Here is a 13,990-nt window from a genome sequence, read left to right on the forward strand (position 1 = left end):
TTCTGTCTTTACTGGTATTATGGTGGGAACCCATAAACCACTGCGAGGCAGATACCATTTTAAGCAGGAAACCTTATTTTTTTCCGAAGCACATTTAAAAATATTTTCCAGTTTATCTATTAAACATCCTCCTTTGCTTCTGGAGATCCTCTGAAAGATTTATCTCTTTCGATTCATCTGTAAAGTAAAAATAACCGTCGTCGTCATTTCTCAAGCGTGACGATACTGTTACACGTTTACTGCATATTCTGCATACCAAGCACATATCCGTCACACGCAGTGTGGCCAACTTCCGAGAGGCCGGCATTCAGCCAAACAGCCTGAAGAACCAGGAGAAATGCCTGAGTTTCCAAATGGCTTATGGTAAGTTGTTGCTGCCACTATGAGTAGCCTACTTGCATTTCTATTTAATGGCTTTTCCCCATATTTGATGGTATGTTAAACAGTCAATCATTCATTTTCTAAATTAAAGCCTGTCCTGAAAACGTGCTCAGTGCTATTGACTGTGCATCAGGTATTAGAGACACAGATATGAAACTGTACTTTTTAATTTACGATAAATGTCAGTGTGAATTATTGGTTGTTTTGCTTTTCTTTCATAGTCTCCGTAGGCTTCTTGGGAATGGAAATTGGTATAACCTTTTTGGAGGACCCTCAGTAAAAAGCTATCAAAATTTAAAATGTGGGTATCTCTTGACCTAGTGAGTCTACTTCCAGGAATTCATCTTAAAGAAAAAAATTATAGTTTCCTAAGTATTTGTATTGCAGCATTGCTTTCAGTGGCCAACAAAACAAAACAAAACAAAATTGGAAACAACATAAAATAATATTACCGGAGAAACAATGAGTAACATGTATAGGATTTTTTTTTTTTTTTTTTTGACGGAGTCTTGCTCTGTTGCCCAGGCTCGAGTGCAGTGGCATGATGTTGGCTCACTGCAACTCCGCATCCTGGTTTCAAGTGGTTCTTCTGCCTCAGCCTTCCAATTAGCGGGGACTACCAGCGCATGTCACCATGCCTGGCTAATTTTTGTATTTTTGTAGAGATGGGGTTTCACCATCATGGCCAGGCTGTTCTCGAACTCCTGACCTCAAGTGATCCACCCGCTTCAGCCTCCCAAAGTGCTGGGATTACAGGCATGAGCCACCACGCCCAGCCGCTTCTCGTAGATACTACCCAGGAATTTTCACAGTAACTTCAAGGAAGAGATTGTTCTGTAATTTCTGTTTTTACTGATAAGGAAGCTCACGCTTAGAGAATGTAAGTAAAAAGTTCACAAAGCTAGTGAAGTATGTGGGGGCGGTTTTTAATGAATGATTGAACATTCTTTAGTGGAACTACAATACTATGTTTTTAGGAAAAGTTGCACGATGTTTTTACATGGGTAGAAAATATACTCTGGAAGGATTTGAACCAGGCTGTCCCTGTTCTTATCTTGGGGCAGTAGGACTTTGGGGCACGTTTTCACTTTATATGTTATCAACTTCTGTATTATTTGTAATACAATGAACCAGTTTTATTTTTGCAACTAACAGTAAGTATAAATAGCTGATGACCACTTGGGGTGAACCGAAGTGCCTATGACAAACCACACGCAGGCATCCTCGGGACTATTGAGGCCAGATAATCCTTTGTTATGGGGGCTGTTCTGTTCGTTGTAAGATATTGAGTAGCATCCCTGACCTCTGCCCCCTGGATGCCAGTTCACTTTCCAACAAGTTGCAACAAGCAGAAATGTCTGTAGACATTAGCAGATGTCTGCTAGCAGTTAGAATGGCCTCTGGTTGAGAATCAGAGCAGACTCTGCTCACACTGGGCTATCAGGGTATAGTTCTCTCCCTCCCAACAGCTGGAACTGAGACCATCTCCCTCCATTTGAGGATCATTCCGATTTCCCAAGTCCACCGTGTGGAATGTAAAATCCTTTGAACCAGAACAGACAAATCTTGTTTTTGTCTTTTTATTGAATTTAACCACTATTGACTTGCGACTTGCGGCAATCACCAGATCCCAGATCTCTGTGTTTGGAGCTACACGTCTTTCTGAATCGAGGAGGTGGGGCACTGATTTTTCTTTTATCACTGACTTCCCCGAAGTGGGAAGTTCCAGTGCTTAACAAGTTTCATTAAGAACACAGCTATTAAATATTCAGAATATACAGACTGTTGCTGTTGAGAATGTAATTATGCAGTAAATTAGCTGATGTCCAGTACGTTGCCTTTTAAGCAGATCTTTGATGTATGCAGTACTTGCATAAGATATAGGGCATGTTTATTAAGAGTCTTCAACTGTGTATAAAACTAGAGCAGTCAAAAGTAATGGTGTCTGCTGAAGGATTCTTTATCATATGAATTTACCTTTAGTCATCTATTATTTATTTCAGCTATTTTATATGCCATTATAATAAATATTATGACAGAGAAAGCTTTTACGCTTCAACTTATTGTACTCCTCTTTACTTGCCTGCAATCCTTCAGGAAAATGTAACCACGCTTTACCTATAGTTAACGTAAATCATCACTTACATTAGAATGAAAAATTCACTATGAAAAAAAGCTCTTACTTCAATAGCAAGGCATAAATGCACAATCATGTTGACTGCCAACCTCCTGTGTCATTCACTGTCCTTCCTTAAACTGTTTTTAAGCTGCAAAGTGAATATATTGCATAGAGGGAAATAGGAAGGTTTTGGATTATTTTCGCTCTCTTATTAGTTTCTGGCAGGATAAGCATTTTTTATCCGGATTGCAAAATATTGCCAATTACTGTCTAAGCATTTTTAATAGTTTTGCTTTCCATGGCACGCAACTCATATACTAAATTAAATAAGCTGTTATCTGGTGCAATTTCTCCTTGAATAGACTTAGAATTACCTATAGATATTGACACGGTTATTTTATAAATTGAGTTCCAGCAACACAAGGCAAAAATTTTGGCCTGTATGTAATGAAGGAAGAGTTGTCATCATTTTCTTATTAGGGATGTTTGTGTATTTTGGCAGGGGGAGGTAGGAAGGGGACCTGATGGAGGGCCCTGGAGTGAAGGTTGATGCTGGATGGTTGATTTGAAGGTTAGGAATGGCAAACTCAGCCTCTGTTCTTCAAGAATCCCCCTGCGTCCCCCCGCCCTGCCCCCTGCCTAAAAAAAAGGAAATCCAGGGCTTTGCTAGGGATCATTTTTGGTGTGGTTCTGTGTTTTAAAATGTGGAATCATCTCCAAAAGTGTTTGTTTATTAAAAGCAAAGTGATAAAATGTGTCAAGTCAGTGAAGAGACTCTCAAACTCCCCTTTCCTGCGAATCCTATCAGAAAGAACATTTATGAGGGCATACTTTTCATCTTTAGGCTTGGCAAAGATGGGTCAAACTCCCCATCAGACTGGCACATGGTGCTGTTTCAGGTTTGACTAAGAGAGAAAAGAATCACTAGTCAATGAAAGCAACTGTGTCCCCATGCATTTTCCAGTGAAGATGCGATCACCCATTGCCACCGTTACCATTACTTAAATAATATTAGAGGAATTAGTGTTATGAAGTCCCACATATGATATTGATGAATTATTAAACCAGTTGAGTTAGATTTCTATTGTAGTTCAGTGAATAATGTCATGTCAATACTGTGCTCAACGCCAGTGTCTCTTGCTGTTGTAAATGTGACAGCTCCTATTTAAGGTTTTAGAACATAAAATCAGGACTGAGAGTATGTAAAGCGGAAGGGTGAGAGACATCAGCATAATGCAATTAAGGCCCATTGGATTAGAATTTGCAGGATGCCATTAGCAATAAGCTCTGAGTGTAGATTATTGCCGTGCTTACATTTTCTCCTTCAGCGGTAACACTTCTCTTGTAAATTCTAACTGGGTAAAATAAATATGATATAAAACAGACACAAATAAGAATATATAGATGATGTTAATTTCTTCAGAGCTTCCCGGTGTTACGTCTTCAAGAATATGACGACAGGGGAACAGCCCAGTGTGGCAGTCATGTGACGACATGAGCATTGGAACCAGCCACATCTCAGTTGGCAACACGTATCTGTGTCTTACTAGCTTGGCCACTGTCACGTCACTCAGCCTCTGTTTTCTCATCTGTAAAATGGGGAAAATTATAGATGCTTCAGAAGATATTTGCTATCACTATTAAATGAAAACAAGCATGTCATCAGTGCTTATTATTTTTGTTGCTTTTATGATCAATAAATACATGCAAATTAGAGCTTTTTAAATGAGATTCTGGAAATAAGTTTTTCCGTATGTGTAAGGGAGGGGTAGATACACTGCCATCCAATCAGCATCAATGGGTACCTTGAAGTGAGATCACAAAATAGCTAATTCCCTGTAAACAGCAACCCTTCTCTCTGCAGTTGCACATGAGTAGTCCCCCAGTTAAAAGAGAATTTCCTCCAGATACAATGGAGGCCACGTTCAACACAGCCATCTAGTGTACCTGGGCTTCTTCCACCTCCAGCCACTGTACCGACGTGTTCCTTTATTTCACCCACATAGTGATGATGCTTCCAACACAGCATAACAAAGAGCTGCTGCTTTGTGCTGCTAGATTTGCCAAAAGTCTGTGCCAGGGATTCTTTTGTTGGAGGTAAGTGGAGAACGCAAGGCCCACATGCACAAGATGGGAGTATTTTGAAGCATGCTCCGTAAGACCCAACATGTGGGCAGCAGACCAACTACTTGGGTTCACTATGGCGAGAAATGGGATAGGAGAGCGAACTCACTGATACCCTCCCAGCTAATTCCTAGGCAATCTGCAATTAACAATGATTGTAAAGTAATAATTTGTGGTTTTGAAAACTAGGTTTGATCACTGGAATTATTCCTGTCCTATGTTCTAAAGGCCTGTTGCCTTGAGATGTTTTTTCTCCTCCCATTATTGGTAAGCATAATGTAGGCATGAGACGTTGCCTTTGAAGTGTCGGAAGGATGGAGAGGAGAAAAGAAAACGGAGATTGAATCTGGAAAACGCATTCATCTTTAGAGGCAGTGTTAATGAGTACATGAATTTAGTCCTGTAAATGTTTTCTCCCTTATTTGGGACATGGTGTATTGAAGGTGTCTGTTAACTGTGCTACCAATGAGTGCCCCTGTATCCGAGGGAAACTGGAGAAGTGTACTTGGGCTACCGGGTTACCAAGAGCAGGACAGCATGAGGCAGTTACAGATCTGATGGTTTTTCTTGGTCTTTGTCTCAGCTGCCATGAGGGCTTCTAAGGGGCAAGGAGGGTTGGGGGATGAGAGGACAGGTACATAGTGTGGACATAATGGAATATGGAATAGCAATTGAAATCTTGCGTTGGGCTGAATCATGGCTTTGCAGTTATTATCTTGATGCGGCTGTGCATGAGCCTTTTGAACCTCAGCTTCTCCATCTGTGAAATAGGTGGATAATGACTGCACCCTGCGAAGATGCTATAGGGATAAATAACTGCTGTGGGGCAAGGACTGAAATGGTTGTTGTTTTGAGATGGCTTTTATCATTGGGCCAGTGACGACCCATTCAGCCGTATCAGTGAAGAGTGAAGCACTGCACTCTTTAAGGATAGGGCTGAATGGTTTATCACCCATTCAGCGGTGACCACCACATCTTATGCATTGTGATGATCACGATGATAAAACAATACATAATCACAATATAAGGATCTAGAGTTATGAACTACTGATCAGGTATCATGTTCTGCTCCAACTGCTTTAGATACATTGCCTGACTTCCCGATAGGGCAGGTGCTGTTATTACTCCCACTTCACAGAGGAGCAAACTAAATATACAAGAAGCAGTAACTTGCCCAGCCCCAAACCACCCCCTGAAAAAAGAAAACAAGGGAGACCCACAGTTATTAATATGCATTATTATTGGAAAACAATGGTCATCACATTTTAGCAGTGGCCTTCAAAATAATGATAATAGCATATATTGAGAGCCCATTGTGTGGCTTGTACCTTATATTCACTCTATCTAATCTTCACTCTAACCATAGAAGGCAATACTATTATGCTCATTCATAATTAAGGCAATTGAAGCCCAGATCCTTCCAGTAGCTTTCCTGAAGTCAAGTTGCCAGTGCATTGGACATACTGGGCTGTAGTTCCAGGGCAGCCTGGCTCTGGTGTCTTTGCTGCAATGACAATATCTCCCCATTTCTCTGTTTAAATACCACACACTCCCCATATGGTTTCTTTGGTTTCAGGCAGTATCGCATCAGAGTCACATATGGCTAATTTATAGTCATAAAATGATACTAGAGATCACTGTTGCATAACAACAAGAAACCCCTTTGATTCCACACTTACAGACTCTTGAGTCACTAACACAGGTTTCAGTATATATAAAGAATAGATGAAGAAGACTTAGTGTATTAAGGTGGCAGTGAACTGTGCTACTGATGAGTGCCACTATATTCAAGGGAAATGGGAGACATGCACCTGGGTTGTTTGATTATGACCTTCTGGCTGAGCCCTGGATGTTGGGAGCAAGTGGGCTTCTGAGCTACATAGAAGTTGCCTGATGCTTCACATGTGGGATGCCACCTGTGTGGCTCTGTTTTAAAATGATGGGTAGGTAGAGTCTGTATACATAATTTAAAATACATTAACATTTCTGTTTTGCCTGAGATAAGCTTGTACTGGTGTGATCAGAAGGAAGAATGAAGATTTGGGGAAGGAAAATTTTGAGAGCCATTTTACAGCATTTCAAGATTCAGTGATCTCAGAACCTCTTTTGGTTAAACAAGCATGGGAGGATGGATGATTGGATGGATGGATGAATGGATAGGTAGGTGGGAAGATAAATGGATAGACATATAGGTAGGAAGGAATGAGGGATATATGGAAGGCTAGCAGTTTATTTTACGGTGGTGGGATTTTTTTCTTTTCCTTTTTTACTCAGACAGTCTTGTTCTGTTGCCCAGGCTGGAGTGCAGTGGCACGATCATGTCTCACGGCAGCCTCGACTTTCCAGGTTCAAGTGATCTTCCTGCCGCAGCCTCCTGTGTAGCAGGTGCATGCTGCTATGCCCAGCCAGTTATATTTTAGATGCTTTTTTATATGGCCCATATTCATATGTCTTTGTGACTTTTTTTTATAATGGATGTGAGTGTGAAGTAGGAGTTGGCCTGAAACAAGCCCAGAGAGGTAGACAGGGACCAAGTCATGGACTGAGTTAGTTGTTGTTGTTCCTCACTTTCTGTTTTTATTTCTCCTCTTTCTGGACACATAGCACGTTGCACCTTCTAGAAGCTAGGCACAGCCACATGACTTTGTCAAGGAAATGTGAGCAGAAGCAACACCAGTCACTATTAAGTGGAAGTCTTTGAGATGCCACGTGTAACTCACCACATTGCCTTCCACATGCCGTAGAGGCTGGCAGTGTTACAGACAACAGAGGCTCCATCCACCTGGTCCCTGAGTGGCCACGGTGAGCTGGGCCCACTGACCTACAATGAGTGTGAAGTGTGAGCAAGTCATAATTCTGGGTTATTCTAATTAATGGAGATTTGGGGGTTGTTCCTTACTGAAGCACATCCTGATTGATGCAGAGGATCTTGTGAGCCATGCTAAGGAATTCAGCCCACGTCTTACTGACCACTCTGACGTACTAAAGGGTTGGTTTTGCCAATGAAGAGAGCAGGCTCTGACTGAACGAGGCCTGAACTTTTCATGTTCTAGATGGCATGTGCTAATTCTAACACTTCTTAATGAAAGTCATGGTTTGCTTGGTGGTGATGGAACAGTTCTATGTCTTGAATGTGGTGATGGTTATATGAATACATACACATGATAAAATGTCTTAGAATTATGCACAAAGGTACAGCAAAGAAAATAAACGCATCTCAAGTTGTGTTAGTTCCTTCTCACACTGCTATATAAACATACCTGAGACTGTGTAATTTATAAAGAAAGCAGGTTTAATTGGCTCATTGTTCTGTGTTCATGTTCTGCTTCTGGATAGGCCTTAGGAAACTTCCAATCATGGCGAAGAGGAAGCAGGCAAATCTTAGCAGGAGCAGGAGGACGAATAGGGGGAGGTGATATGCTCTTGTAAACAAGCAGATCTTAGGCATACTGGATCACGAGACAGCACTAGGGGGATGGCACTAAGCTGTTTTTAACCAGCCCCATGATCCAATCACCTCCCACCAGGCCCCACCTCCAGTATTGGGGATTACAATTTAATATGAGATTTGGGTAGGGACACAGAGCCAAACCACATCAGGTGACATCCCAGTAATGACTGTGGTCTAGTAAATTGTGTTGTGTTGATGTTGATTTTCAGGTTTTGCCATTGTATTGTATGTATGTAAGATGTATATATGGGGGAAGCTGGATGATGGGTATAGGGTGTTCTCTGTACCAGTTTGGCCATGTTTTGTGAATCTATAATTAGTTTCAAATAAAAGTTAACAACCAGAAGATCATGAGCTAAACCAATAAAGTGAATTATGGTCAGTTGCAGATTCACTGCCAGACCTGGGAGGAAATCTCACCTTGGCAGATCGAGTCTCTTGTCCTCGCCTAACAATCAGCAGTTCACCTCTCGAAAAGGGGTTCCGTTTGCAATCTGTCAGCCACTACCTTCTTATTTAGAGCATGTCCCACTACAAACATTTCTATAAAGTTACTAAGTTTGTTAGACAATTAGAATTGCAAACCCCCAACACACACATAAACACATATGCACACCCTAATTTAAAGGCTGCATTTTCCATCCCCTGGACTTACTGTATTGCCTCCAGTTTCTCTCCATTTCTCAGGATTGGTAGCAGAAATGGGAAACCTGATACCTAGGGCAAGAGAATTGCCTGAATAACAGTGTGTGGACTTGAATCACTATCCCCAGGAGCCTAGTAACCCACAGCTTGTGGATTAGTCTGTTGAACTACTTGATGGCTTGTGACCCCTTTTTCCCTTAGAGTTATATGTTCTGATTTTCTTCTTATTGATAGTGGCAGCTCTGTGCTTTATTTTGAAGGGAAGCAGGGGAACCAAAAGAAAACTTAGCAGTTGTAAGTTACTTACAGAGAAGACTGGGCTAGTTGGCTGTGCTATCATTTTTGTTGAAATACTGCTTTGGGGTCGCCATCTGGGAATGTTCTTCCTGTTTTATGGGGGAAATACATACATGCGTTTTTATAATATGTAGCCTGCATATCCCTTGGGGTTTCCACTGGGGGCTTGGCTGAGCAGAGCAATTTCTTTACCACCCCCTCCACAGCATAATGAATGGCTGCCTTTCCTCTTGTGATACATTCACATTTCTGTAAGATTCTGCACGTGGCAGTGAGTGTCATGCTCCAAGTAAAACGAGGCAGGGACCAGAGGACTTAGGATGAGGATGAAAGGTCACTTTGTTTGCTGACTCTGAATGTCAGGTAGTTGTGTTTATGAGGCATCAGCGTCTCTGTGGGGTATTGAAACATTTACACTTTGAAAATATTTTTAATCATCAGATAAATATCAGTTACTCAGACAGCTTATGAGGGTTCTGCTCCTCATCTGGAGGTACACACCTTTCACGGGGTGTGACTTCACCACATGCCTTCAATATTCTTGGTGGCAGTTGCCCTCTTTATAGGGGGGATGTGGCGTCACCTTATAGCAGACCCTCTAGCTCTGTTATTTCCTGAACGTAGGAAACTAACAACCCACGTGTGGGCGTTTTCCCCTTTTCCTAGATCAGGTTCATGTTTCTCCTCCTCGTTCCAAAATCTGCACACTTTGGCATCTGCCACTGTTACCCAAGACCAGGAATTTAAATCTGTGTTTGCCAGTTTGCCTCCACCACTGATGTGCTGTTGGGGTTTGGGGACATAATTTCATCACTTTCTACCACCTTTCCTTAAAACTAGGCTTTGTGCCAGGTGCGGTGGCTCACGCCTGTAATCCTAGCACTTTCGGAGGCCGGGGTGGGTGGATCACAAGGTCAAGAGATTGAGACCATCCTGGCCAACATGGTGAAACCCCGTCTGTACTGAAAATACAAAAATAAGCTGGGTGTGTTGGCACGCACCTGTAGTCCCAGCTAGTCGGGAGGCTGAGGCAGGAGAATCGCTTGAGCCCAGGAAGTGGAGGTTGCAGTGAGCCAAGATGGTGCCACTGCACTTCAGCCTGGGCGACAGAGTGAGACTCCATCTAAACACACACACACACACACACACACACAAAAGCACAGGGCTTTGTTAGCAGGCATGACTTGGATTCTTTAGGATCCTTCCCTCAGTAATCTGGTCTGATGTGGCCTTCAGGGAGGATCTTTGGACATCATTGCCATCCATCTGTCCACTGTGCTGGACTATAACCCACCCAGACTACCATTTATTGCCAAGTGGCATCGGGACAAGAGTTTTACACAAGAAACATCTTCTCTGCTAGTTAAATTAATTAGATAATTTGTCTTCCAGACAGGATGTTAGGAACTTATGAACATGTATCGTTACAAACCTATGAGTAGATGACTAATATTCATCTTTTACAGATAAGGAAACTGAGGCTCAACAGTGTTAAATGGTCCAGAATGAGTGTGTTTTCTAGCTGTCACTGCCTGATGTTTACTGCTCAAAGCTTAGGACTTGGATTAGAGCCCAGGACTTGGCAGCCAAGATAAACCAGCTGCAATTACGCTGAACGTCTCAGCCCAGCTCCTGTCCATCCCTGAACAGGACACTTAGGGTAGAGGATGTTCTCAGCAGTGCCATTTGCATCCCCCTTCATAGCCTTACAGGTATCATGTTATCCTCCTTAATCTTACTTAAGCATCACAGTCTAGACTAGAATTCCCAAGTCAACCGTTTGTTTTACGGGACTCTTCTTATTTGAATAGGCAGGTGGCCCTGTGTTCTTGGGTTTTTTGTCCTTTCAAGGAGCTAGGTCTAAGAAGTGATAGTATTTAATCTCGCACTCCGAAGCGCACCCAGATTTAAAAGTTGGGAGTGGCCCATACACAGAAGGCTAGTGGGAGGGGCAACCCGGAGATTTGTCCTTGCAGAATGATGCCATGAAGAACATGGCCAATGGAACACCATTGCTTCAAATCCCGACCTCTCCAGTTCTCCTGGTTTCTTGCTAGGCGGGAACTTGGGCTTCTTTATCAGTGACTGGGGTCAGTTCTTGTACTCAATTTCCTATCTCTGTGATCTCTTGTAAGATGCTGCATTGTCAAATGGAGAAAACATTGTCTTTGAGTTGTTAGGAGCCTTGAGTGAGATGGTATGCAAATGTCCAGCCCGTGGCAGGCCCTAAGTACACAGTAGCCATTATTACCATTATTATTCCTATCACCAGCATGTATTCCACCTGTTGATAGAGTTTTCTGGGTTTACTAAGCCAGGGTGTTGCCTTTGGGATCGAGGTCCGTCAGAATCCATTGGTATAAACGAGTCTTTCTGCTTTTGTACTTTCTATAAAGGAGTTGTCTTTGATTTTTGATGCAGGTTTAATGGAGATATTTCAGAACCTGGATGGCAGCTTTTGAAATTAAGATATTGTCCATTGCATCTTTCCATGATCGAGGCGTTGTCGTGCATTCCCCTCCTTACAGCGTTTTAGGATGCAGATTGAGAGGAGATAACGTTAGCCCGAAGCGCCTTTGCAGCCTCTTTTGCGCGGCTGAAACACAGCACAACCCACCCCCCCGCCCCACCCCCCAGCCTGTAGGTTTAGCAGAATCCCAGCCTCACATCCTCCCCGAACTTGGCAGTAAAAGCCCTGTTCTTCCATTCATTCCGATGATTTATATTCTCTCTGGGCGTCTTATATTAAACAGGGGAATTCCGACATGTTCCATAACACATTTACTGTAACTTGATACCATGAACTACACTTGCTGTTATTTATCATTTCTTTTTATTTTCTCTCATTGCAGCATAAAGCCAAGGTAGAAGCAATGACCCTGGACCTCGCTCTGCTCCGTAGCGTGCAGCATTTTGCTGAAGCATTCAAGGCCAAGAATGTGTGAGTGTTCCAGTGGAGGGTTATAGATCATAATTTCTTGCTATTGTAATATCTTTATCAGATGAACACAATTGGGAGAATGCAAGGCTGTTGTGTTGTCTTGGCGTCCAAACAGGAGGCTCATTTATATTGGCCCTGTTAAGGTGAACCGTATTTTCTTGACTCACAGTCACCTTCATTATGAGATGTGTCATCAATCTAATAACAGCTTCCCACATACCAAAAGAGAAGACACTATTAAAGCACTAGTAAAAGTGGCTAATAAAAGCTTGGCAATAGTAAGATGCATCCTGATTATAAGATTTTTTGTAGTGCATTTCAGAATGGAGTAAGAGTATATTTAAATTGCATTCAGGAACAAGTAAACTCAGTTATCCAGTATGGCAGGGAGGTTGACAATCCAAGCACCCAAAAGACCTCTAGTTTCTAAAGCCTTCGATGATTTGATGTGGTACATGGATGTGGTTCCAAAAAACATGGACTCACATTCCTTTTATTTATTTTTTTTCATCCTTTTCAGTCTTTCAAAATTCCAGTTGGAGAAAGCCTTAGTTAGGGCCTAGCATATTTTGATCCTATCATATGCTAGCATCCCTTTCTAACAGAGAAGGTTGTAGGAGAAAGGGAGAGAAGCGGAAGGGGGTGGGGAGACAGAGAGACAGACAGGAGGCCTCAAACCCTGAAACACTGAGCTAAGGAAAGTGATCATGGCAAGCTACACTAATTACAATACTTTGTTTCCAAGTGTTTATTTTTACTCATATTTAGGGCAGGCAATCCTGGTTTCTCGTTGAACATAGAGGTTTGAATTTCATTAATAAATAACTTCATTTATTTTTTTTCAGTGACTTGATTCAAACATGAGGATTAAGTTAATAATAGCACAGGTTGTGCGAAGGATAAGATAATTACACAAGAGGCACCAGAACCACTGAATGTGGAGAGCTCTCATAAATGACAAGCTGCCTTTGGGTTAGGCTCTGTTGGGAACATTAGTTCTGCAGTGTTGCAAGCAGATGAAGGATGTGAGGGAAGGGATCTTAAACCAGATATTCAAATGGCCCTGTGGGGAGCTGACACCACACTGCTGTCTAGTGTCCAATTCTCCTTGCATGGCTGTGTCACCCAGGTTGGAACGTAGTGCACAATCTCGCCTTAATGCAACGTCCCACTGTGGGCCCAAGTGATTTTCCTGTCCCAGCCTCCTGAGTAGCTGGGACTACAGATGCCTGCCACCATGGCCTGCTAATTTTTGTATTTTTAGTAGACATAGGGTTTCACCATATTGGTCAGACTGGTCTCAAACTCCTGGCCTCAGGTGATCCACCCGCCTCAGCCTCTGAAAATGCTGGGATTACACACATGAACCACTGCGCCCAGCCGCTCTACTTTATTAGATTTAAAAAGTTTGCTCTCAGCTGGGTGCAGTGGCTTATGCCTGTAATCCCAGCAGTTTGGGAGGCCAAGGCGGGGAGGGTCATGAGGTCAAGAGATCAAGACCATCCTGGCCAACATTGTGAAACCCCATCTCTACTAAAGATACAAAAAATTAGCTGGGTGTAGTGGTGCACACCTCTAGTCCTAGCTACTTGGGAGGCTGAGGCAGGAAAATCGCTTGAACCTGGGAGGCAGAGGTTGCAGTGAGCCAAGATGGCACCACTGCACTCCAGCCTGGCGACAGATTGAGACTCCGTCTCAAAAAAAAAAAAAAAAAAAAAAAAAAAAAAAAGTTTGTACTCAGCCTGGCGTGGTGGCTCACGCCTGTAATCCCAGCACTTTGTGAGGCCGAGGTGGGCGGATCACCTGAAGTCAGGAGTTCGAGACCAGCCTGGGCAACAAGGTAAAACCCCGTCTCTACTAAAAATGCAAAATTAACTGGGCGGGGAGGCACATGCCTGTAATCCCAGCTACTTGGGAGGCTGAGGCAGGAGAATGGCTTGAACCCGGGAGGTGGAGGTTGCAGTGAGCTGAGACTGAACCAGTGCACTCCAGCCCGGGTGACAAGAGCAAAACTCTGTCTCAAAAAAAAAAA

General features: G+C 42.7%; 1 protein-coding gene across 2 annotated transcripts in view; it reads left to right on the top strand.

Annotated features, from left to right (window-relative positions):
• Positions 1-13,990, top strand: part of WWOX (WW domain containing oxidoreductase) — a 1,113,014-nt gene that overhangs the window by 275,337 nt on the left and 823,687 nt on the right. For both annotated transcript variants that reach the window (NM_016373.4, NM_001291997.2), the window contains one exon: positions 11,870-11,958. In NM_016373.4, the coding sequence (NP_057457.1) occupies positions 11,870-11,958 (89 nt within the window). The remainder of the gene's footprint in view (positions 1-11,869; positions 11,959-13,990) is intronic.

This window comes from Homo sapiens, chromosome 16, assembly GCF_000001405.40.
Source record: "Homo sapiens chromosome 16, GRCh38.p14 Primary Assembly".
In the NCBI taxonomy this organism is placed as follows: domain Eukaryota; kingdom Metazoa; phylum Chordata; class Mammalia; order Primates; family Hominidae; genus Homo; species Homo sapiens.